The following is a 26,838-nucleotide window of genomic DNA, read 5'->3' as shown; positions in this document are numbered from 1 at the left end:
GGAAAGAGAATATTAAAAACCTTAAGCTCTTTATTGGAGCTAGTTTTAAAAAAATGTTTAATAATATGACTGATCAAAGACAGTGATGCTTGCCATACATTTAATCTCTCCCCTGAGCCCCCATACTTTCCCATCTTTTTTCAGTGAGAAGGGAACATGTGATATGTGACATTCTGGCCAATAAAATGTAAGCTGAAGCAGTCAGTATTACTTCCCACTGGAGGCAGAGAAAACCTCCTCATGATTCTCCCATTCGGCTCTTACCCCTAAGAATGAGAGTGAAGGTCACATGTTGCTATTGGAAACTCTAAAATTTGAAACTGCCTGAAATGCTGAGCCATCACATTGAGTTCAGCACCCTGGAGAGCCCAACATCTACAGTAAACTTTATAAGTGGGAAAGCTTAAAAACTATTTTTTAAGCCACTGAGATTTTGTGATGGAGTATTATCATAGTTTATACCTACCCTAATATGTGTAATATATCTAGGTTGTTTGAGGTTAGCTGAGGTCATCCCTTAATAGATATGAAACAAAATTAAATACTATGAAGTGGGGAGGCATTACATTTGCTTTTTAAAAATTGCATTCTCTTTGATACTTTCTGATACTTTTGTTGCTGTTAAAAAAAAGCATAACTTTTTATTATCGGCTATATGAGTAATCATTATTTTCAACTTTACTAACAGAAAGATCTATGATTCCAAATTTCTCTTAAACATTTCTTAACCCCTGTTAACTTAGTTGATTTCTTTTCACACAATTAAAGTTGTATTAGAAAGACTGGAAATCATTAATCTCTTGATACAGAATAATTTCTTTCAGATATTAGTAAATGATATACAGTAAACGCCATTTTCTTATATGTCTGGATTTTATACTTTTGCAAAAGGAAAATTCAAACTCAAATGAATTATTTTTATTTTTTGAACATATTTTTGCAAAATGGGACGAATTTGAAAAAATTAACAAAACCTTGCTGGGTCATATAAATCATCTCCTTTTTATATGATTATATGAGGCCTATAGACTATAACCATTTTCCTTAAGTCCTCTGGGCCACCTAAGTAACTGAGCCCCTTCTTAATGAACTTGCATATCTGCATTGAAACATCATCTGTTAGTGATCTTGATGAAAGGGACATGTGACACAAACCTACCTACCTCTAATCAGTGGTAATTACTGATATTTATTAAAAGAACTTGCCATTTCATGACACTTTTGGGCATCAAATAACACATATGCATCAAGGCTATGATAACTACTTGCTGTAGTTTCTTTTAGTAAATATTGGTAACCTCCACTGGTTAGAGAAAGGTAGTTGGGATCTGCATGTTCTTTTTTGTCAAGATCACTAACAGGTAATATGTTTCAATAAGTGCATAACTCAGAATAAATTCTCTTGACCAGGAAAACAAAACCCAGCTTATTATATGAGTCAGGAATTTCCTTACTTCTATACACCGAAGTAACAATGTTAAAATAAATTACCATACAGACAATTTATCACTGCTTCAATTTATATTATGTATAGGAATATGCCTTTTTTTTTTTTTTTTTTGAGATGGAGTCTCGCTCTGTTGCCAGGCTGGAGTACAGTGGTGTGATCTCGGCTCACTGCAACCTCCGCCTCCCGAGTTCAAGTGATTCTCCTGCCTCAGCCTCCCAATTAGCTGGGACTAAAGTCACGCACCACTATGCCCAGCTAATTTTTGTATTTTTAGTAGAGATGGGGTTTTACCATGTTGGCCAGGATGGTCTGAATCTCTTGACCTCGTGATCCACCACCCTCAGCCTCCCAAAGTGCTGGGATTACAGGCGTGAGCCACCACACCCGGGTGGGATATGCCATTTTTAAGATTATCTCCAGCTGCTTCATGTGGGCATTTTGAATAGGAATTGGTGGGGTGGGGGTGGGGAGACTCACTTTTTGCTTCCAGCATTCTTTTGGTACCCTCTAACAGTTTTTTTTTTCTACTGATGACATACTACAAGGACTAAAATAATGTGGATGTGCACTATAATCCCAACAGTTAATGTCTGTTACAGGATTTTCTTTTTCCTGTATCATGAAAGAGTAATCATTTTCTTGAGCCATTTAGACTAAGCCATGAATTAAACATGGGAGTGAACAGTTAACTATATTTTTTTGCATATTTCAATGTGTTCAATTGTACAAATAAGTGTCATTCTACAAAAGGTTTTATATATTTAAATGATGAGTTAGTAGAACAATTGGGAGACACAGGACTTCATTCCAAGAAAAATAATACTTCTGAAAGGTAATAGAAAAATACACTAGTATATCTGTGATGTGTACTTTAAAAGTCATTAAAAAGAATTCAGAAACAAACCCAAATATATACAATCAACTAATTTTTGACAAGCATACCAAGAAGACACAATGAGGAAAGAATAGTTTCTCCAATAGATGGTGTTAAGAAAGCTAGATATCCACATGCAAACAAACAAATAAATACACTTACTTTACACCACACACAAATTCAACTCAAAATGGATTAAAAACCTAAATATAAAACCTAATACCACAAAACTCCAGGAAGAAAATATGGGAAAAGCTCCTGGAAATTGTACTTAGGAATTAGTTTTTGAATGTCACAACTAAATCTTGGCAACAAAAGCAAAATAAACAATTGAGACTACATCAAACTAAGGAGCTTCTGCACGGCAATGAAAACAGTTAACAAAATTAAAAAGCAGCCTATGGATTGGAAGAAAATATTTGTGAGCTATATATCTGATAAGGGGTTAATATCCAAAATATATAAAAACCTCATACAGCTTAATAGCAATGAATAATAATAATTAATAATAACAATAACCTGATTAAAAAATGGGCAAATGACATGAGTAGACATTTCACAAAGAAGGCATAAAAATGGCCAATAGATATATGAAAATGCGCTAATCACTAATCATCAGAAAAATTCACATCAAAATCTCAATAAATTATCATCTCACACCTGTTAGAATGGCTACCATCAAAAAGACAAGACACAATAGGTGTTGCTGAAGGTGTGGCGAAAAGAGAACCATTTCACAATGTTTCAATGGTCTTTACATTTTGTTTTGTTTTGTTTTTGCAGTGCCTGGTACCAGTTTTTCCTTTCCATATTTAGTGCTTCCTTCAGGAGCTCTTCTAAGGCAGGCTTGGTGTTACCAAATCCCTCAGCATTTGCTTGTCTGTAAAGGATCATATTTTTCCTTCAATTATGAAGCTTAGTTTGGCTGGATATGAAATTCTGGGTTGAAAATTCTTTTCTTTAAGAATGTTGAATATTCGTCCCTACTCTATTCTGGTTTGTAGAGTTTCCGCCGAGAGATCTGCTGTTAGTCTGATGGGCTTCCCTTTGTGGGTAACCCCACCTTTCTCTCTGGCTGCCCTTAGCATTTTTTTCCTTCATTTTAACGTTGGTGAATCTGACGATTATGTGTGTCTTAGGGTTGCTCTTCTCAAGGAGTACCCTTATGGTGCTCTCTGTATTTCCTGAATTTAAATGTTGGCCTGTCTTGCTAGTTTGGGGAAGTTCTCCTGCATAATATCCTGAAGTGTGTTTTCCAACTTCCTTCCATTCTCCCCGTGACTTTCAGGTACATCAATCAAATGTAGGTTTGGTCTTTTCACATAGTTTGATATTTCTTGGAGGCTTTGTTTGTTCCTTTTCATTCTTTTTTCTCTAATCTTGTCCTCACGCTTTATTTCATTAAGTTGATCTTCAATTTCTGATATCCTTTCTTCCACTTCATGAGTTTGGCTATTGATACTTTTGTATGCTTCACGAAGTTCTTGTGCTGCATATTTCAGCTCCATCGGGTCATTTATGTTCTTCTCTAAAATGGTTATTCTAGTTAGCAATTCCTCTAACCTTTTTTCAAGGTTCTTAGCTTCCTTGCATTGGGTCTAGTTAGCAATTCCTGTAACCTTTTTTCAAAGTTCTTAGCTTCCTTGAATTGAGTTAGAACGTGCTCCTTTAGCTCAGAGAAGTTTATTATTACCCACTTTCTAAGCCTACTTCTGTCAATCCATCAAACTCATTCTCTGTCTAGTTTTGTTCCCTTGCTGGTGAGGAGTTGTGATCCTTGAGAGGAGAAAAGGCATTCTGTTTTTTGGAATTTTCAGCATTTTTGCACTGGTTTTTCTTCATCTTCATGGATTTATCTACCTTTGGTCTTTGATGTTGGTGACCTTCGGATGGGGTTTCTCTGTGGATGTCCTTTTTGTTGATGTTGATGCTATTGCTTTTGGTTTTTTAGTTTTCCTTCTAACAGTCAGGACTCTCTTCTTCAGGTCGGCTGGAGTTTGCTGGGGGTCCACTCCAGACCCTTTTTGCCTTGGTATTACCAGCAGAGGCTGCAGAACAACAAAGATTACTGCCTGCTCCTTCCTTTGGAAACTTTGTCCTAGAGGGGCACCTGCCGGATGCCATCTGGAGCTCTCCTGTATGAGGTGTCTGTTGACCCCTGCTGGGAGGTGTCTCCCAGTCAGGAGGTATGGGGGTCAGGGACCCACTTGAGGAGGCAGTCTGTCCTTTAGCAGAGCTCAAGTGCTGTGCTGGGAGATCTGCTGCTCTCTTCAGAGCTGGCAGGCAGAAACGTTTTAAGTCTACTGAAGTTGCACCCACAGCTGCCCCTTCACCCAGGTGCTCTGTCCCAGGGAGATGGCAGTTTTATCTATAAGCCCCTGACTGGGGCTGCTGCCTTTCTTTCAAAGATGTCCTGCCCAGAGAGGAGGAATCTAGAGAGGCAGTCTGGCTACAGTGGCTGTGTGGTGCTGCAGTGAGCTCTACCCAGGCTGAACTTCCCAGCAGCTTTGTTTACACTGTGAGGCTGAGCAAGACCACTCGGCTCCCTGGCTTTAGCCCCCTTTCCAGGGGAGTGAACAGTTCTATCTTGCTAGTGTTCCAGGTGCCACTGGGGTTTGAAAAAAAACTCCTGCAGCTACCTCGGTGTCTGCCCAAATGGGTGCCCAGTTTTGTGCTTGAAACCCAGGGCCCTTGTGGTATAGGCACCCGAGGGAATCTCCTGGTCTGTGGGTTGCAAAGGCCATGGGAAAAGTATAGTATCTGGGCTAGATGGCACCGTCCCTCACGGCATGGTCCCTCATGGCTTCCCTTGGCTAGGGAAGGGAGTTCCCTGACCCCTTGTGCTTCTCAGGTGAGGTGAAGCCCCACCCTACTTCTGCTTGCCCTCTGTGGGCTGCACCCACTGTCTAACCAGTCCCAGTGAGATGAACCAGGTACCTCAGTTGGAAATGAAGAAATCACCCGCCTTCTGCATTGGTCTTGCTGGGAGCTGCAGATAGGAGCTGTTCCTATTCGGCTGTCTTGCCCAGGAAAACCCACGTCAATTTTTAAAGAAAGAATAAATTCTATAGGTTTTACTGTCCTGCTGTCTCCATGTGTAAATTACTCCCACCCACAACCCCAACCCTATACACATAGTACTAATAGTACTAATTTCACTATTACCTGAGCTTCCCCTTCCCACTAAGTTTTCATTCCTTGAGAAATGAAAGATGATCAAAGCCACTGAGAAACTGGCAAAATGCCACTTATAGCAGCATATGTTTGGCAGCAGGACTTAGTCCTCCTATTAGAAAGGAAATTCTTGGTAAATGCAAGTATATATAAAAAAGGATCCATCCTCTGATGTATTCTTTTGCAGGGAAATGGATTTTACTCCCTTTGAACAGGCTCTACATGAATACTCTTTGAAGGAAAAATCATATTGCCTTTAATAAAAGTCCTTTCTTTTCCATATCGTGCATCTGTTTCCTTTTCCATACTTTGGTGGATCTCAGTTTATTAAAAGTATTCTATCAACAAAATAGGAGGGAATTATCCCATGCTAGTATCTTTCTTTTGTTTTAACTTGATTCCACACTTCAACTTTAGTTTACTTCAATTAATAGTAATAAAATAAACAGACCTTTCTACATTCTGAAGAAGAGCATTCTAGTTAAGTTCTTTAGAAGATGAATTGAATTGTAGGTATAATATATTTGTAATGCAAAAAGTATTTTATATGTAACAAGGCAATTTATATGTATCTATCTAAGTAGACATGTGTGATAGTAATTATAAATGAACTATTAATAATTGTCTAGTAAAATAAGTAGTTACATAATAAAATATAAACATTAGCATAATAATAGAATAATGTACTAACATGTTTTGGACTGACATGTAAACCAACTACAATTTGTTGTGCTTTACCTGCACTGTCTCATTTAAACTTCATATTAATTCAATTAGTGAATACTCTTATTGTCTTAGTATGAGAAGTGAGGGAGCTAAGGCACAGTGAGACTATTTTTAATAGGAATTAATGAGTACTTACTTTTTTGTTGAATGAATTAGCTATTTACCAACCAAATATTTACCTTAAATATATATTTAATGTAGAACATAAATACATAATAAATATAAAATAGGATATAAGCATATATTAATATATTAAATATAAATTATAAATATACCTAATATATTAAAATATAAATATATAGTTACATATAAATATAAACATGCACAATTGATAATATATAATAAAATATGCACATACGAACACATACACCAAAAGAAAGACAAAGAGAAATAACTTTCGCTCCCATGTGTCTTTTTGCATTTCTGCACATCTTGTGAGTGAGACCCTGTTTGTCCTCTTTTATTTTGAACTATTTTCATTTCAAGGATGTCTGTATGGTAAATAGCCTTGGAAGACAGAAATGGTGTTTTTGTCCAGAACCAAGAGAGGCTTGCTTGTAGCCTTGGGAGATAGAGACAGTGCTACCCTCCACAGCAAAATGTTGGCATGCTAGCCATTCATCAGAAAAGATTCAGGTTCCCTAAGCTCAGGGTTCCTCTCCTGTAACGCAGTCCATTGTATGTGCCAGTGGTATCTTATCCTCTTCATATCTCTGTGGAAATTAGGACTGAGGAAGAAGAATGATAAATGCTGATAATGTGGCTACTGTTAATGTCTAATAAGCTTCTTTGCTCCTGACCCAAGCATCTTGTATTTTCTGCAGGCATTTATGAAACTGTGACAGGCTGGCTTGTTAGCTTACAAAGAAGATAAAAATCTCAGAGCCTTCATAGACTCTTTTTCTGCATTCTGATAAAAAAAAATTCTGTCTCTTTTCTGATCTTTCTCAAGTTTAAGAAGTAACAAAATGTACTTACTGACATACTTATCCTTTTTTTTTTTATTCCTGTCAAATAGTGGTATGGGAAAATGGTGGAGGGGCAAAACAAAGAGATCAAGAAAAGAAAATCTGGTCAAACTGCCACACAAGCATAAACCTTGTGTGACTGTGTATTTGCTGTCTTACTCTGTATCACATGCTTTTTGAACATTTGGGGTTAACTAACCTACTAATGAGACCCATCTTCCTCTGAAGAGTCAATCTATCCCACATTCTTTCTGTGCTGGGGGATGAATATTTCTCCCATAAAACATAAGTTAACAGCATGAATATAATTTGGTGATAGAAAAATAATTCTTTATAAGAGCTATTGTATTGAAAGGTAGTAGTTCCTCTGAAACCAGGGAATAAATGTTGACTCCCTTTTAGTGAAAAGTGAAATAGTTATTTATCTTAAGCATTTCTTAGCATAATTCTAGATATGTTAGAAAATGATACTACTAACAGCCAGCACACTTTTTAGGTTTATAGCTATAAGAACAAATGTATTATATCATCATGTAAACATTATTTTACTGGTCAAGCATGGTGGCTCACACCTGTAATCCCAGCACTTTGGGAGGCCGACATGGGCCAATCGCTTGAACCCAGGAATTTGAGACCAGCCTGGGCAATACAGCAAGACTCCTCTTTCTCTCTCTCTTTCTCTCTTCAGTAAAAAGAAAAAAAAGTATTATTTTGCTAGCAGCAAATTATCACTATGATTTTTAAGGGGAATACTAATATTTAAAGTTAATGCTTAATATACATCAATATATTTAGCTTTAGGAAATAAATATTTAGGGAAATTCCTTAGTAACTCTCATTTTTAAAAATTTATACCCAAGACAACTGGTTCATTTTGGGTTTGCTTGTATGAGTTGATATGTAATGTTTTATTATTTATTTATTTACTTTTTAAGACAAGGTCTCGCTGTGCCACCCAGTCTGGAGGGCAGTGGCACAATCATGGCTCACTGCAGCCTCAAACTCCTGCACTCAAGTGATTCAACCTACCCAGTAGCTGGGACCACAGGCATGCGCCAAAATATCAGGCTAAATTTTTCTTTTTTCATAGAAACAGGGTCTCCCTATGTTGCCCAGGCTGGCTTTGAACTCCTGGGCTCAAGCAATCCTCCCACATCAGCCTTCCAAATGGTTGGAATTACAGGCATGATCCACTGTACCCAGCTTGATTTAACTGTTTTAAGGCCAAAGCTCAAGTTTCCCGTATTCTTTACACACTTAGATTATTCTCTGATTTGTGAAATAGTCTCTCCCTTCTCTAGCTCCTTGAGTCAGATGTATCTCTTCTATGTTAGGTAGGGTAATGCTTGCTGTTTTAACAAACCAGCTCCCAAATAAGCTAGGGCAGTCAAGTTCTTGTCCATGATTATACAAGCTATGGGCAAATAAAAACTGAAACTCAGTACCCTAAGACAATGAATGTTTATTTTTTCATTGATGTATAGTCCTATGCAGATGCTCTTGGCTGTTGAAGTATAGGGTTCTACTTCACAGTCATTTAGGGAACCAGGATGATGAGGGTTGTGCCATTGCCAACACATATCTTCCTGGGTGATTATTCAGCTGGTGGAGAGAGACAGCAAGTTGCCCTGGATGGAGAGTCAGTGGGTAAAGAGAGAAAAAAAATATAAAAGTATTCCTACTTCAAGCCACCTTGGCAGAAAAGTGACCCACATAAATTTGTCCCATGTTTTACAGATACGAATTAGTCATGAGACCCCACTGAGATGCAAGAATGATGGGCAAGTGTAGTCCATTACTGGGCAGTCACTTCTTAAAAATAAATTCCCAACTACTGAAGGAGGTCATACATTTTTGGTGGGCAGCTAATTTTCCCCACCTCATTCCGCACTCTTAGCAATTATTCTCCAAGTCCATTTAAAGGCCTATCTGTATTAATAATGCATTCATTTTATTGTTACTAAATATTATAAATGAGCCTGAAAAACATTCTGTAGCCACATGGAAACACTGATTCATTCTGCTATAAGTACTGTAGAGTTACACGAACTTACACTAGATAAGATCAGTGTAGTCACTAGGGAGCCATCTGCACAAGATATTATAATATATAATACTACTTTTATGTAACCCTACCTGTTGTAAGTATGATGTGAGGCCTATAAAGTAAATATGTGTCACCAAACTTGTTTACATAATGTACCCTTCTCTAAAAAATAACAATGCTAAAAAATATCCTTTCTAATTAGCAGCTTTTTCTCAGAACAATAAGATAATGTACACATTCAGGGAACCAAAAGGAAATGAATTGAGTATATATGGAGAAGAAAAACATAATTTAGTCCCCAAAACATGCAGTTATTAATGCCAACATAGGTCCATTACATTTTACACACGGATAAGCCAAAAGTTATGGCAGTCAAGTTCTTACACATGATTATGCAAGCTATGGACAAATAAAAACTAAAACTCAGATCTTGCAGTCTTGTGCTATTTCTTAATCAAGCTGTGATACACTTTAGATATTTGTCTTCTTCAAATCTCATGTTGAAATTTTATTCGCAATGTTGGAGGTGGGGCCTGGTGGGGCCTAGTGGGAAGTGGATCCTTCATGAATAGCTTGCTCCCTTCCTTGAGGTAATGAGTAAGTTCTCACTATATGAGTTTACAGGAGGGCTGGTTGTTTAAAAGAGCATAACACCCATCCTCTCTTGCTCACTGCTTCACCATGTGACACACCTGCTCCCCCTTTCCCTTCTGCCGTGACTTATAGCTTCCTGAGGCCCTTACCAGAAGCAGATGTTGGTGCCATGCTTCTTGTACACCCTGCAGAACCGTAAGCCAAATAATCCGCTTGTCTTTGTAAGTTACTCAGCCTCAGATATTTCTTTATGGTTATGCGAGCAGACTAACACAAGCTGACATTCTAGCAAGATGAAGGATGACTGAAACTGTGGTGGCGGAATACCATGGGTTTACTCTGTGGCTTCTTCTGAGTCTGTATTTTAGGCTATGATGAATTAGAGTACCATTGGCTGTAGGGACTAATAGTAGTAGTAAATTTTTTGAAAGTAATTTTGTTCACCTATCTTCTTGTTATTTAATAAAACCTATCAAAAACATGAGGAGTGTCAAATGCACAAGAGAATTGAAAAAAAGATTTCAGGTAGCCATTGCCATATGTAATCTAGCACAATAGTAGTGGTTTCTGTCATTTGAAGTCAGCTACCAGAAGGTGCTTTATATAATGTTATCCCACTGGATCTTCAAATAATCCTTTGCAGCACTTATTATCAGCACGTATTTACCAATTTTACAGTGGAGAAAATAAGTAACTGAGTAAATAAGAGACAGAGTTGGTATTAATGTTGAAGAATGTCTTATCCGAGGCCATTCCCTTTCTCCATGTTTGTACTTTATTTTAATGTGTTTCAGAACAGAACATATGGTTAATCTAGTATATGATATTATTAGAGAGTGTATTAGGATTCTCCAGAGAGAGTCAATAGGAGATAGACAGAAAGATAGATAGATAGATGGGTAGATAGATGGACAGATAGACAGATAGGTGACAGGAAATTTATCAGGGGGATTGGCTCACGTCATTATGGAGACTGAGAAATCTTGAGACGGCCATCTGCAAGCTGAAGGCCCTGGGATGCTGGTAGCATGGCTCAGTCCAAGCTCCCAGGTCTAAGAACCAGGGAAGTGAATGATGTAAATCTCAGTCTGAGACCAAAGGCCTGAGAACTCAGGAGGCTGCTGCTTTAAGTCCTGGAGTCCAGAGGCCATGAAACTGGAGTTTTCATCCAAGAACAGGAGAGGAAGAACGTTACACAGTTGCAGCTGGATGGACACATTAGCCTTTTCCTGTTTTTGTTTTCTCTGAACTCCCAGAAGATTGGATGGTGCCCACCCATTGCATTTGTAAGCTAGTACAATAGTAACAATTTCTGTCATTTGAAGTCAGATACCAGAAAGTGCTTTATATAATGTGATCCCACTGGATCTTCAAATAATCCTTTACAGTACATATTATGAGCACATATTACCAGTTCTACAGCTGAGAAGATAAGTGACTAAATAAAGAAGTAAGAAGTAAGAGTAAGAAGCCACACTGAGGACAAATCTTCCTCACCTAGTCCTCTTAGACTCACATGCTAATCTTTGGAAACAACCTTAAAGACACACCCAAAAACAATACTTTCCCAAGCTTCTACGTGTTCCTTAATTCTGTCAAGTTGACACCTAAAAGAAATCATCACAGTAAGCATTCTTAGGCACATTGTAACAATGACTGCTTGCTGCATATACAATTAAATTTTTGGTGCTGAGGCTTGAACTGACCATAAAAATGACTGAAACACTTAAGGGGTTGTGTCTTAGAAGGTGCCTTATTATTGCTCATATATGGTAATTCAGATTCAAGGTTATTCAAGGAAATTCAATTTTTAGGATAAACCAGTTTGAGAAGATAGAAATGAGGTTCAATAAATATGCTCATTATAGGTGAGGTTTCCTGTAAACACAGCAAAATTTCAAAAAATAATTTTAGAAAAGAATTTAGAGCAATGTATATAAGAAAATGACATAAGACACAATTCAATTTTTGAAAACTAAGATATGTCACCTTACTCTTGAGAATAACTCCAACTGGCCACACTTATACTTCCCATTTGTGCTAGCTATTGAACTTATAAACATGTGTCTAATGTCTGCTTGCCCAGATATGCTGTAAACTGCATGAGATGGGGCTCAAGTCAGTGTCATTCACCATCACTTCTGCCTCCTGCAAAGTTTCTTCTTCATAATGTTAGCTCTTAAAAATACTGATTAAATTAATTGATGGACAAGGTACTAGAGTTCGTTAAAATTTCAAATAAATTAATGTACACTAATAGTAAGATGCAAAAAACACCCACAAAAACATTAATTCTTCCTACTAGCCCTCCATCACCCAGGTTCATTCTCCAGAGGAAGTAATTGTTCATTATTTCCTACAAGTTTTCTGAATATTAATGCTTCTTTAAGCATGTCTCCACTTTGTCTTACATTCATTTCTCACATAAAAATATGTACTTGAAATGTAAATATGTTTATTTATATAGCATCAAATCAGTTTAATAATCCAGACAAAATATTAATTGAATTGGTTGAATTATCCCAGTCCCTAATAGGTCATATTCTACATATTCCTAAAAACAAATTCCTTACATTGACGCATTTACTTGTGATTTCTTTCTTACAAATGTAGTAAGCTGAATGTAGACCATAACAATTGCATTTCAACACTAGTTGAATTTTCAGGTAGTTTGAAATCAGAAAAAAAATAACATGGACTTAAGATTTCACTTACAACATAGGTTTTTTTTGTTTTTTTTTTGTAGTTCTTTGACCGTTTTGACAATGACTGAAAAATTCATTGTATCTGATCATGTGCTCATCTACTTACTGGGTTCATTTGACTAGCAAGCAACCCGGGAGATGTGAAATGTAGGCAAAATAGTCACAGGGGTGCCTCTCTGACATCCATAGACCCAGACCTTGGCACCCCTTCTGCTTACTAATTCTCAGTCATTGGTAGTAGGCTATTTAAATTTTATTGTGTACAAGAATACTTTCATGAGCTTTGATTTAAAATAATAGGATAGTCAGTTGTGACCTAGAAAGTTTTTTTCTGTATTTGTATACTGTGGTGTGGAATTATTTCAGCAGAAATTGAGCTATATAGTATACATATTATTGAATAATATGTAAAAATATATGTAAATGAAAGCTATATTTTTAACATGAAAATATATTTGCAACCATGGCAGAATTTACCATGTAGTTTAGCATAGGGTATTTCATAATCTATTGTATTTATATAAATAACATAGTCCTCTGTGCAAACCCAGACTTAAGTCATGCTATTCATTCTTTATGTAACTCTTTTTAAGATTTCCTTTGGTATATGTGGAATCATGAAGGGCTGCTTCTGTTCTAATTCAAAATTTAAATTTTTATCAAGTATATGTGTCTGAAATTATAATTATGAAATTCATCTAAACCTATTTGGATAGTTTAATTTCTATCTCTCTTCTGTTGCTTTTGGCTGTCTCGTATCCTTTTACCAACTAGCCATGGTTTTCAAACTATGCCTCCCAAACCAGCAGCATAAAATCACCTGAGAGTTTCTTGAAGGTTAGAATTTCTGGTCTCACATCTCACTTACTGAATTAATATGCATTTGTTAAAAATGCATTTTTATATGCATATAAATGCATGTAAAAACGCATATAAAAATGCATTTTTAGAGGAACAGCTCCAGTCTACAGCTCCCAGCATGAGCGACGCAGAAGACGGGTGATTTCTGCATTTCCAACTGAGGTACCGGGTTCATCTCACTGAGGAGTGTCGGAAAGTGGGTGCAGGACAGGGGGCGCAGTGCAACCAGCATGCACCAAAGCAGGGTGAGGGAAGCGCAAGGGGTCAGGGAATTCCCTTTCCTAGTCAAAGAAAGGGGTGACAGACGGCAACTGGAAAATCAGGTCACTCCCACCCTAATACTGCGCTTTTCCAATGGTCTTAGCAAACGGCACACCAGGAGATTATATCCCGCGCCTGGCTCAGAGGGTCCTACACCCAGGGAGCGTCGCTCATTGCTAGCACAGAAGTCTGAGATCAAACTGCAAGGTGGCAGCAAGGCTGAGGGAGGGGCGCCCGCCATTGATGAGGCTTGAGTAGGTAAATAAAGTGGCCGGGAAGCTCAAACTGGGTGGAGCCCACCGCAGCTCAAAGAGGCCTGTCTGCCTCTGTAGACTCCACCTCTAGGGGCAGGGCATAACCAAACAAAAGGCAGCAGAATCCTCTGCAGACTTAAATGTCCCTGTCTGACAGCTTTGAAGAGAGTAGTGGTTCTCCCAGCACACAGCTGGAGATCTGACAAAGGACAGACTGCCTCCTCAAGTGGGTCCCTGAACCCCAAGTAGCCTAACTGGGAGGCACCCCCCAGTAGGGGCAGACTAACACCTCACATGGCTGGGTACTCCTCTGAGACAAGACTTCCAGAGAAATGATCAGGCAGCAACATTTGCTGTTCACCAATATCTGCTGTTCTGTAGCCTCCACTGCTGATACCCAGGCAAAGGCAAACAGGGTCTGGAGTGGACCTCCAGCAAACTCCAACAGACCTGTAGCTGAGGGTCCTGACTGTTAGAAGAAAACTAACAAACAGAAAGGACATCCACACCAAAACCCCATCTGTACGTCACCATCATCAAAGACCAAAAGTAGATAAAACGACAAAGATGGGGAAAAAACAGAGCAGAAAAACTGGAAACTCTAAAAATCAGAGCACCTCTCCTCCTCCAAAGGAACGCAGCTCCTCACCAGCAAAGCTGGATGGAGAATGACTTTGACGAGTTGAGAGAAGAAGGCTTCAGATGATCAAACTACTCTGAGCTAAAGGAGGAAGTTTGAACCCATGGCAAAGAAGTTAAAAACCTTGAAAAAAATTTAGACGAATGGCTAACTAGAATAACCGATGCAGAGAAGTCCTTAAAGGACCTGATGGAGCAGAAAACCACAGCACGAGAACTACATGACGAATGCACAAGCCTCAGTAGCCGATTTGATCAACTGGAAGAAAGGGTATCAGTGATGGAAGATCAAATGAATGAAATGAAGCGAGAAGAGAAGTTTAGAGAAAAAAGAATAAAAAGAAACGAACAAAGCCTCCAAGAAATATGGGACTATGTGAAAAGACAAAATCTATGTCTGATTGGTGTACCTGAAAGTGATGGGGAGAATGGAACCAAGTTGGAAAACACTCTTCAGGATATTATCCAGGAGAACTTCCCCAACCTGGCAAGGCAGGGCAACATTCAAATTCAGGAAATACAGAGAGTGCCACAAAGATACTCCTTGAGAAGAGCAACTCCAAGAGACATAATTGTCAGATTCACCAAAGTTGAAATGAAGGCAAAAATGTTAAGGGCAGCCAGAGAGAAAGGTCGGGTTACCCATGAAGGGAAGCCCATCAGACTAACAGCTGATCTCTTGGCAGAAACTCTACAAGCCAGAAGAGAGTGGGGGCCAACATTCAACATTCTTAAAGAAAAGAATTTTCAACCCAGAATTTCATATCCAGCCAAGCTAAGCTTCACAAGTGAAGGAGAAATAAAATCCTTTACAGACAAGCAAATGCTGAGAGATTCTGTCACCACCAGGCCTTCCCTAAAAGAGCTCCTGAAGGAAGCACTAAACATGGAAAGGAAAAACCGGTACCAGACACTGCAAAAACATGCCAAATTGTAAAGACCGTCAAGGCTAGGAAGAAACTGCATCAACTAACAAGCAAAATAACCAGCTAACATCATAATGACAGGATCAAATTCACACATAACAATATTAACCTTAAATGTAAATGGGCTAAATGCTCCAATTAAAAGACACAGGCTGGCAAATTGGATAAAGAGTCAAGACCAATCAGTGTGCTGTACTCAGGAAACCCATCTCAAGTGCAGAGACACACATAGGCTCAAAACAAAGGGATGGAGGAAGATCTACCAAGCAAATGGAAAACAAAAAAAGGCAGGGGTTGCAACCCTAGTCTCTGATAAAACAGACTTTAAACCAACAAAGATGAAAAGAGACAAAGAAGGCCATTACATAAGGGTAAAGGGAACAATTCAACAAGAAGAGCTAACTATCCTAAATATATATGCATCCAATATGGGAGCACCCAGATTCAGAAAGCAAGTCCTTAGAGACCTACAAAGAGACTTAGACTCCCACACATTAATAATGGGAGACTTTAACACCCCACTGTCAACATTAGACAGATCAGCGAGACAGAAAGTTAACAAGGATATCCAGGAATTGAACTCAGCTCTGCACCAAGCAGACCTAATAGACATCTACAGAACTCTCCACCCCAAATCAACAGAATATACATTCTTTTCAGCACCACACCACACCTGTTCCAAAATTGACCACATAGCTGGAAGTAAAGCACTCCTCAGCAAATGGAACAGAACAGAAATTATAACAAACTGTCTCTCAGACCACAGTGCAATCAAACTAGAACTCAGGATTAAGAAACTCACTCAAAACTGCTCAACTATGTGGAAACTGAACAACCTGCTCCTGAATGACTACTTTGTACATAATGAAATGAAGGCAGAAATACAAATGTTCTTTGAAACCAACGAGAACACAGACACAACACACCAGAATCTCTGGAACACATTTAAAGCAGTGTGTAGAGGGCAATTTATAGCACTAAATGCCCACAAGAGAAAGCAGGAAAGATCTAACATTGACACCCTAACATCACAATTAAAAGAACTAGAGAAGCAAGAGCAAACACATTCAAAAGCTAGCGGAAGGCAAGAAATTACTAAGATCAGAGAAGAGCTGAAGGAAATAGAGACACAAAAAACCCTTCAAAAAATCAATGAATCCAGGAGATGGATTTTGAAAAGATAAACAAAATTGATAGACCACTAGCAAGACTAATAAAGAAGAAAAGAGAAGAATCAAATAGACACAATGAAAAATGATAAAGGGGATATCACCACCGATCCCACAGAAATACAAACTGCCATCAGAGAATACCATAAACACCTCTATGCAAATAAACTAGAAAATCTAGAAGAAACGGATAAACTCTTCGACACATACACCCGCCCAAGACTAAACCAGGAAGAAGTTGAATCTCTGAATAGACCAGTAACAGGCTCTGAAAGTTAGGCAATAATTAATAGCTTACCAACCAACAAAAGTCCAGGACCAGATGGATTCACAGCCAAATTCTACCAGACGTACAAGGAGGAACTGGTACCATTCCTTGTGAAATTTTTCCAATCAACAGAAAAAGAGGGAATCCTCCCTAACTCATTTCATGAGGCCAGCATCATCCTGATACCAAAGCCTGGCAGAGACACAACCAAAAAAGAGAATTTTAGACCAATATCCCTGATGAACATTGATGCAAAAATCCTCAATAAAATACTGGCAAACCGAATCCAGCAGCACATCAAAAAGCTTATCCACCATGATCAAGTGGGCTTCATCCCTGGGATGCAAGTCTGGTTCAACATGTGCAAAAAAATTAACGTAATCCAGCATATAAACAGAACCAATGACAAAAACCACATGATTATCTAAACAGATGGAGAAAAGGCCTTTGACAAAATTCAACAACCTTCATGCTAAAAACTCTCAATAAATTAGGTATTGATGGGACGTATCTCAAAATCATAAGAGCTATTTATGAAAACCCACAGCCAATATCATACTGAATGGGCAAAAACTGGAAGCATTCCCTTTGAACACTGGCACAAGACAGGGATGCCCTCTCTCACCTCTCCTATTCAACATAGTGTTGGAAGTTCTGGCCAGGGCAATCAGGCAGGAGAAGGAAATAAAGGGTATTCAATTAGGAAAAGAGGAAGTCAAATTTTCCCTGTTTGCAGATGACATGACTGTATACTTAGAAAACCCCATTGTCTCAGCCCAAAATCTCCTTAAGCTGATAGGCAACTTCAGCAAAGTCTCAGGATACAAAATCAATGTACAAAAATCACAAGCATTCTTATACACCAATAACAGACAAACAGAGAGCCAAATCATGAGTGAATTCCCATTCACAATTGCTTCGAAAGGAATAAAATACTTAGGAATCCAACTTACAAGGGAGGTGAAGGACCTCCTCAGGGAGAACTACAAACCACTGCCCAATGAAATAAAAGAGGATACAAACAAATAGAAGAACATTCCATGCTCTTGGGTAGGAAGAATCAATATCGTGAAAATGGCCATACTGCCCAAGGTAATTCATAGATTCAATGCCATCCCCATCCAGCTACCGATGACTTTCTTCACTGAATTGGAAAAAACTACTTTAAAGTTCATATGGAACCAAAAAAGAGCCCACATTGCCAAGTCAATCCTAAGCCTAATGAACAAAGTTGGAAGCATCACACTACCTGACTTCAAACTATACTACAAGGCTACAGTAACCAAAACAGCATGGTACTGGTACCAAAACAGAGATAGAGACCAATGGAACAGAACAGAGCCCTCGGAAATAATGCTGCGTATCTACAACCATCTGATCTTTGACAAACCTGACAAAAAGAAGAAATGGGGAAACGATTCCCTATTTAATAAATGGTGCTGGGAAAACTGGCTAGCCATATGTAGAAAGCTGAAACTGATCCCTTCCTTACACCCTATACAAAAATTAATTCAAGATGGATTAAAGACTTAAATGTTAGACCTAAAACCATAAAAACCCTAGAAGAAAACCTAGGCAATACCATTCAGGACATAGGCATGGGCAAGGACTTCATTTCTAAAACACCAAAAGCAATGGCAACAAAAGCCAAAATTGACAAATGAGATCTAATTAAACTAAAGAGCTTCTGCACAGCAAAAGAAACTACCATCAGAGTGAACAGGCAACCTACAGAATGGGAGAAAATTTTTGCAATCTACTCATCTGACAAAGGGCTAATATCCAGAATCTACAATGAACTCCAACAAATTTAGAAGAAAAAAACAAACAACCCCATCAAAAAGTGGGCAAAGTATATGAACAGACACTTCTGAAAAGAAGGCATTTATGCAGCCAAAAGACACATGAAAAAATGCTCATCATCACTGGCCATCAGAGAAATGCAAATCAAAACCACAATGAGATACCATCTCACACCAGTTAGAATGGCGATTATTAAAAAGTCAGGGAACAACAGCTGCTGGAGAGGATAGGAGGGATCAACAGGTGCTGGAGAAATAGGAACTCTTTTACACTGTTGTTGGGACTGTAAACTAGTTTAAGCATTGTAGAAGTCAGTGTGGCGATTCCTCAGGGATCTAGAACTAGAAATACCATTTGACCCAGCCATCCCATTACTGGGTATATAACCAAAGGATTATAAATCATGCTGCTATAAAGACACATGCACACGTATGTTTATTGTGGCACTATTCACAATAGCAAAGACTTGGAACCAACCCAAATGTCCAACAATGATAGACTGGATTAAGAAAATGTGGCACATGTACACCATGGAATACTATGCAGCCATAAAAAATGATGAGTTCATGTCCTTTGTAAGGACATGGATGAAGCTGGAAACCATCATTCTCAGCAAACTATTGCAAGGACAAAAAACCAAACAGCACATGTTCTCACTCATAGGTGGGAATTGAACAATGAGAAGACATGGACACAGGAAGGGGAACATCACACACCGGGGACTGTTGTGGGGTGGGGGGAGGGGGGAAGGATAGCATTAGGAGATATACCTAATGTTAAATGACAAGTTAATGGGTGCAGCACACCAACATGGCACATGTATACATATGTTACTAACCTGCACATTGTGCACATGTACCCTAAAACTTAAAGTATAATAAAATGCATTTTTAACAAATGCATATTAATTGGAATCAATACACATAAAAGTTTCAGAAGCACTGCTATCATGTACCACTAATTACTTGTGCCTAAACAGACCCAAAGTTTGAAAGCAGTTGATTCTCTTTTCTCCTAGCGTCATTTGGGGTCATGCACCCTATCCTTGGCCAATCAGAACACCACAAATTTAAGACTTCCTTGATTGGTTCGGAGATGATTAAGTGGCTCAGCCATGCAAGCCAACATTTCCCACGAGATTTTTGCCAGGGCTATCGAAAGCAGTTCTCTTTCTTATTAAGGTTGGTTAGCTTTTAGAATTAAGTTCTATATCCCTGATGGCCAACTTTTTCACTACGTAGAGAGTGCTTGCCTAAGAATAAAGCAGACACAGAGGAATAAAATAAAGTTGAGAAGGAAAGAGCAATGGACAAATTGAAAGAAGAGAGAGGAGAAGGAGAGGGGAGTAGCGGAGAAGAGAGGAGGGGAGAGGAGGGGAGGGGAGGGGAAGGTAGGGAAGGGGAGGGGAGGGAAGGGAAGGGAGAACAGGGGAGCAGAGAGGAGAGGACAGGAGAGCCGGAAAGGGGAGGGGAGGAGGGGAAGAAGTAAAGAAAAAAGGAGGAAAGAGAGAGAAAGGAAAGGGAAATAAAGGGAGAGGAAGGGGAAAAATATCTTTAAGTGCCTAATAACAGCTGTGCCTTAAACCACCATCACCTGTGGGATTTCTCAATTACGTAAGTCATTAAATTCCATTTCTTAAGTTGGAGTTGGGTTTCTAACACTTGCAAATGAAAGTATCCTAATTGTACAGATGATGAAAGTGTTTCCATGAGGAATTTAATTACTAAACTACCAGACAACAGTCTCTTGGTGTGCCTTACATTTAGAAACATGCTTTAATTTTCAGCCTGAGCCAAATTTACTCTCTAATGTATTCAACAAAACAAGTTCATGTTTTACATTCCTGAATCTCAAAACATGTGCTTTCTCTTGAATAATTACAGATGTGACTGCTGGTGATCTTGTTATAATGGCTGTCTTGGTATGGATTGATCAAATTCAGATTAGTGTTTTACTTTATTATTAAAAACACTTGGTTTGAACTTGTTACATTAGTGATTTTAAATCTGAACACTTTCTGAAAACCTGTTTCATGTTTTGGGCACACCGCAAGTAAACAGATTCAATGTAGATGGAAAAAAAACAAATTTTCCTTTCCTTCTCATCCTTCCTACTGCTCCCTGCCATCTTTCAAATTTCTTATCTCTTCCTTTTTTTGTTGTTGTTTTTTTTTTTTTTTGAGACAGAGTTTCACTCTTGTTCCCCAGGCTCGAGTGCAATGGCATGATCTCAGCTCACTGCAACCTCCACCTCCTGGGTTCAAGCGATTCTCCTGCCTCAGCCTCCTGAGTAGCTGGGATTACAGGCATGTGCCACCATGCCCAGCTAATTTTTTTTTTTTTTTTGTATTTTTAGTAGAGACAGGGATTCTCCGTGTTGGTCAGCCTGGTCTTGAATTCCTGACCTCAGGTGATTGCCTGCCTCGGCCTCCCAATATTCTGGGATTACAGGTGTGAGCCACCGTGCCCAGCACCTCCTCTTTCTTTTAATTGTTATTCTTGAACCAAATAGTGGACACCATTTAAACCAAAATCTATTTTTTGAATCAACTTGGAATTAAGCAGTTTGTCATATTTTCTTCACACTGTAAAAATCCAGTTATCAAATTATCCAGTAGATATTACATGCCATCTTCATGGGAATTTTTAAACATATAAAACATTGCAAAGGAGATATTGGGGTTAAAATATATTGAATCATTGGGCTAATAAAATAATTTGAAAATGATGGTATGCATTCTTAAACTGTTTTATTTTCTGATAACATTTTCATAAAATTTCAGACAAGCCATCACAAAATTGAATGTTTCAATGTGCAGCATTATTTCTGTATCAATATCTTTATATATCTATATATTTTCTTATGATAAATAAGACTTTTCAGTTTTGAGTAAGGCTGATGGTGATAACAGTTCCTAAATCTAAAATGGTAAGCTCCACTTACCTACCTCATGCAAATCCATTTTGTTTTCTTATTTTGATTTTTTTTAGTTGTACAAAATTATAGGGTACATGTGAAGTTTTATTACACATATCTAGTGCATAGTAAACAAGTCAGTTAGTTTCCATCGCCTGAGTACAATACATTTTTGTTAACTGTAGTCAACCTACTCAACTGTAAAACATTTAATTAGCTCCTTCTTTCTAACTGTATGCTCATACCCTTCAACACACTTCTCTTAAGCCTTCCCTATATCCCCCACTCACCCTTCCCAGTCTCTGTCTTCCCACTCCTTATCTCTACATGATCAAATGTGTTCACTCCCACATATAAGTGAGAAAACATGTTATATTTGTCTTTTGGTGCCTAGCTTATTTCACTTAACATAGTGATTTCCTCTATCCATGTTTCTGCAATCCATACACAATGCAATAGTACATGACCATAAAAAATAATGAAATGTATATGTAAGTGATATATATACACATATATTTAATAACAGATGTACATATTCATATTTATAAGTATATATTACATAAATATATACATATATATTTATAAATGCATTTATACATAAATATATTTCATTATATAGAAGTCATATATATTTAATTTCACATTGGAATATATATATATTTTTTATCCACTCATCCATTGATGGACATGGGTTGAATTCATATATTTTCTACTGTCATTAAAGCTGTAATAAGCTTGTGAATACAAATATCCCTTTGATACACTGATTTCTTTTCCTTTGGGTAGACACCTAGTACTGGGATTTCTAAATCAAATGGTAACTCAGTTTTTAGAGAAATCACAAGTTTTCAATAATGGCTGTGGTAATTTATATCCACACCAATAACATACTGTATATAAGACATGTTTTATTTTCCTCCACATGTTTGACAAAATCTGCAACTTTTTGTCTAAGTTATAATGAACCAATTTTCATTTTGTTGGCCCTGTGCATTTTTTAAAAAATTCTGTTTCATTTAGTACTGCTCCGTACTTAATTATTTCTTTTCATCTGCTATTTGGGGTTTGGTTTGTTCTTGATTTTCTAGTTCCTTCAAGATCATTGTTAGATTGTTATCTTTCTACTTCTTTGATGTAGGCATTTATTCCTACAAACTGTTTTTATGGTATCTCACAGGTTTTGGCATGTTGTGTTGCCAATTTCACTCGTTTCAAGAAATTTTTAAAACTTCCATCTTAATTTATTCATTAACACAATAGTGATTCAGGAGAATGTTGTTTAATTTGTATGTGTTTGTAGTTTCCAAAGTTCCTCTTTGTATTGATTTTTACTTTTATTTTGCACTCTACAAAGATAGTTGATGTGATATTATGTTTTTTTTTTTTTTAGATTTGTTGAGGCTTCTTCTAACATACAGTCTATCCTGAAGAATGTTCCATGCACTGATTAGAAAAATGTGAATTCTGTAGCTGTTGAAAAAATGTTCTGTAAATGTTAGTTAGGTCCATTGGTCTAAAGTCCAGTTTAAATCTAAAGTGTTTTTATTTTTTGCTTAGATGTTCTGTTTAATGCTGGGAGTGGGGTGTTGAAGTCCCCCACTATTATTGTATTGTAGTGCACCTCTCTTTTTAGATCTAGTAATATTTGTTTTATAATTCTGGTTCCTCTAATGTTGGCTGCATATATATTTAGAATTGTTTTATCCTTTTCCTGGATTGGTGCCTTTATCATTATAATGAGGCCCATATAAGGCATCAATTCAAAAAAAGGATATGCTTTGTCTTTTTAAAAATGTTTTGACTTAAAGTTTGTTTTATCTAATATAAATAAAGCTACTTCTTTTCACTTTTGGTTTCTTTTCATGGAACATCTTTCCATGCCTTTGCTAGCAGTCTATATAAGTTTTTCTGATAAGGTGAACTCCTTGTAAGCAGCAGATAGTTAGATCAATTTTTTAAATTCACTAAATCTTTGTATATCTTTTATATAGAGAATTTAATCCATTTTGTCTAAGGTTAATATTGATATATATAAGGCTTTGTTTTTGTCACATTGCTAATTGTTTTCTAGCTGTTTTACATATTTTCTGTTTCTTTCTTTTTATCTTAATATTTGTCATTGTGGTTTGGTGGATTTCTGTAGTGATACCACTTGAGTCTTTTCTCTTCCTCTTTTGTGTGATTGCTTAACCAGGAGTTTTATACTTTTCTGTGTTTTCATAATGGTAAATATCATCCTTTGCTTCCAGGTATAGGACTCCTTTGAGCATTTCTTGCAGAATCAGTTTAGTGGTAACAAATTCTCTCAACATTTGCTTCTCTGGGAAATACTTTATCTTCCGTTTATTTGTAAAGGATAATTTTGCTGAATAATATTCTTGTCTGTCATGATTTTCTTTCTGTACTTTGAATGTAGTATCTGATTTCCTTCTGCCCTGTAAGGTTTCTGCTGTGAAATCTGATGGGGTTTCCTTTATAGGTGACTAAAAACTTTTCTCTTGCTGCTTTTAGGCTTTGCTCTTTGAGTTTAGACAGTCTAGTTATAATGTGCCATGAAGAAGACCTTTTGCATTGTATCTGCTTGAATATCACTGAGTCTCCTGTCTCTGGATGTCTAAATCTCTTGCTAGGCCTAGCAAGCATTCATCTATTATTTCGTTAAATAGGTTTTCTAATTCTTTAATTCTCTATTTGCCCTCAGGGATACAAAGAATTTAATATTTGGTGACTTTTTGTTGTCCCAAACATCATGGAGGCTTTGCTCATTCTTTTTTATGGTTTTTTTTCTTTATTTTTGTCTGACTGAATTATTTCAAAAGACCAGTCTTCATTTTCTATGATTCTTTCTTCTGCTTGGTCTGGTCTATTGTTGAAGCTTTCTAATGCATTTTGTATTTCTTTCATTGAATTCCTCAGTTTCTGAGTTTCTATTTGTTTCTTTTTAAAAATATCTATCTCTTTGGAAAATTTCCCATTTATATACTGAATTGATTTCCTGATTTATTTGTATTATTTTTCAGAATTATCTTGTATCTCACTGAGTTTCTTTAAAATTAATATGTTGAATTCTTTATCTGAGATTTTGAGAATTTCTGCTTGATTAAAAATCTATTGCTGCAAAATCATTATGTTCCTTTGCAGGTGTCAAATGTTCTTGCTTTTGCATTTTTCCTGTGTCCTTATGTTGATATCTGTGCATCTGGTGTAATAGCCATTTTTTCATATTTTTGAATGGACTTTTGTAGAGGATGACTTTTTCCCAAATATATATCTGTGGTGTTGATTGGGTAGGGCACTTTGGATTTGATTCTGTATACATGCAATAGTGTAGTCTCTGGATGATTTCTTTGACTGTAAACAGCATTAGAGGTATCTGTGATTTCCTTAGTGGGTTAGGGTGCAGTTATTAGTGGAGGTTGTAGTAAAGTAATACTGGGGATGGGGATGTCACGTAGCCAGTCTTCAGGCCCTAGTGATGGCAGCAGTGGGCTGAGCATTCTGATCCTTATGCCTTAGGGTGGCATACACTGGCACCTGTGGTAGTGGTTACTGGAGGGCCAATTCTTGGGCCTCCAGGTGGCTAGCTTGAATGCTGATAGTTGCAGAGATGGACCAGGCAGGTTTTCAATTTACTGGGTCCCTGGACAGCTTGTTTGTATACGCAATGCCAGTAGCATTAGCAGGATGATTCTTGAGTCCCAAATCATGTACACTGATGTTAGTAGTGGCTGCAGTGGGCTGGGTAGGCCAGTCTCTGGGCCCTCAGGTGGTGCTTGTAGGTAGGTGCCAGATAAGGTGGGAAGAGCCAGGAGTTTAAGCTGAACATTAGGCCCCCAAGAGGAGTGCTCAGGTGCCCAGGGTGGTGAATTGCTTTGGGCAATCTCTAGGACCTTGAAGCATGTGCTCTGTCTTAGAGATGGGGGCAAAGCTGGGTTTGGCAGGCTTGTGCTCAAGCCTCCCAAATGTGAGAACAGCCACTAGCCAAGGTTGGTGGGTTGAGGGTGATCCTCAGTACCCAGGTAGAATGCTGGGTGAGCAGTAGTGTTAGCCCCACTGAGGAAGGTGAGCCCAAACTCAGTGGCCACAGTCTAAGCTAGCTGGTGGGGAACACATGTCCCTCTCATGCCCTAGTCACAGTGGGTCTCATCTCTGAGCCCTGGTAGTGGTAGCCCACACCTAGCTCACACCTCAGGCCCAGCTACAGGAGACCCACCATAAGTCCCAGTGGTAACTCATGTCCCACTTGTGTCCCCTTCTCAGTCCTGGCAGCACTTGCTTCTCAACACCAGTAGCTGAAGCCCACACCTCACTGGCTTCTCAGCCTTGGCTGCAGCAGCCTATTCCCAGGTCATGGCCCAGTCCCAACAGCAACTGCCCAAGTTTTCCTAGCACTTCAGTGTAAGGGCTGCTGAGCCCAAGGACAATATGCAGTCTAATAAAGTCTGGGATTGAAAATGGTGTTTTGCTGTAGCCACCTATGACTCAGAAAGGGTGCGAGAACAAGTGCAAGCTCTCTCCCTAAAGCGGTTCCATCTCATTGTCTCCTGGCACCTCCTTATGTTAGTTTCAGGTCTTGAAAGGGTTGAGGGACTCCTGTTGCCAGGATTTCATGATTCCATGCTGGGAATGTGAGATGCTGGGAATCTCTCACTTACTCATTCCCTACATTGGGCAGTTCCTCCTGGCTTCCAGCTCATACCAGCCAAGCAGGCTGTCTCTCTTTTTTTGTTCCCTTGCTTTTGTTTCTTCCTGTCATTTTTCAGTTGAATTCCAGTGTTATCTCTTGGATAATGTATTTGAAGTATGATTACGCACTATTTTGGATCTTTTAAGTGGAGGAGGTGAGCGTGAAATGCTTCTAGTCAACCAATTTGAAGTCCACAATAGATAACTTCCATTTTCTTTAAGTTAGAACTGTTTAACACAGAGAAGAACAAAAGCTATTTTTCATTTAGTCAGTCAACATATGTCTATTGAATACTTATAATGTGTTAGACTCTGTGGTAAGAGGTAAAAATTGGAAATTGATAAGTCATTGTGTGGCATTCTAATAGAGTGAAATACATTGTATTCTAATATAATGAAATACATTAGTAGATTTGTAGGAAGTCTGGGAGAAGGAGGTCTTATATGTACTCCTGGGGATCTTTATCAAAGCATCCAATGCCCCAATTTTTTCTTCCCCAATGCTCATCCGCAGATC

General features: G+C 38.1%; 1 long non-coding RNA gene across 1 annotated transcript in view; it reads left to right on the top strand.

The window, feature by feature from the left end:
- LOC105377865 (uncharacterized) overlaps positions 1–26,838 on the top strand; it is a 374,941-nt gene that overhangs the window by 290,140 nt on the left and 57,963 nt on the right. The gene's annotated exons all lie outside the window — the stretch shown is intronic.

This window comes from Homo sapiens, chromosome 6 (assembly GCF_000001405.40).
Source record: "Homo sapiens chromosome 6, GRCh38.p14 Primary Assembly".
In the NCBI taxonomy this organism is placed as follows: domain Eukaryota; kingdom Metazoa; phylum Chordata; class Mammalia; order Primates; family Hominidae; genus Homo; species Homo sapiens.
The sequence above is the reverse complement of the archived record's forward strand: the minus strand, read 5'-3'. Positions and strand labels throughout refer to the sequence as shown.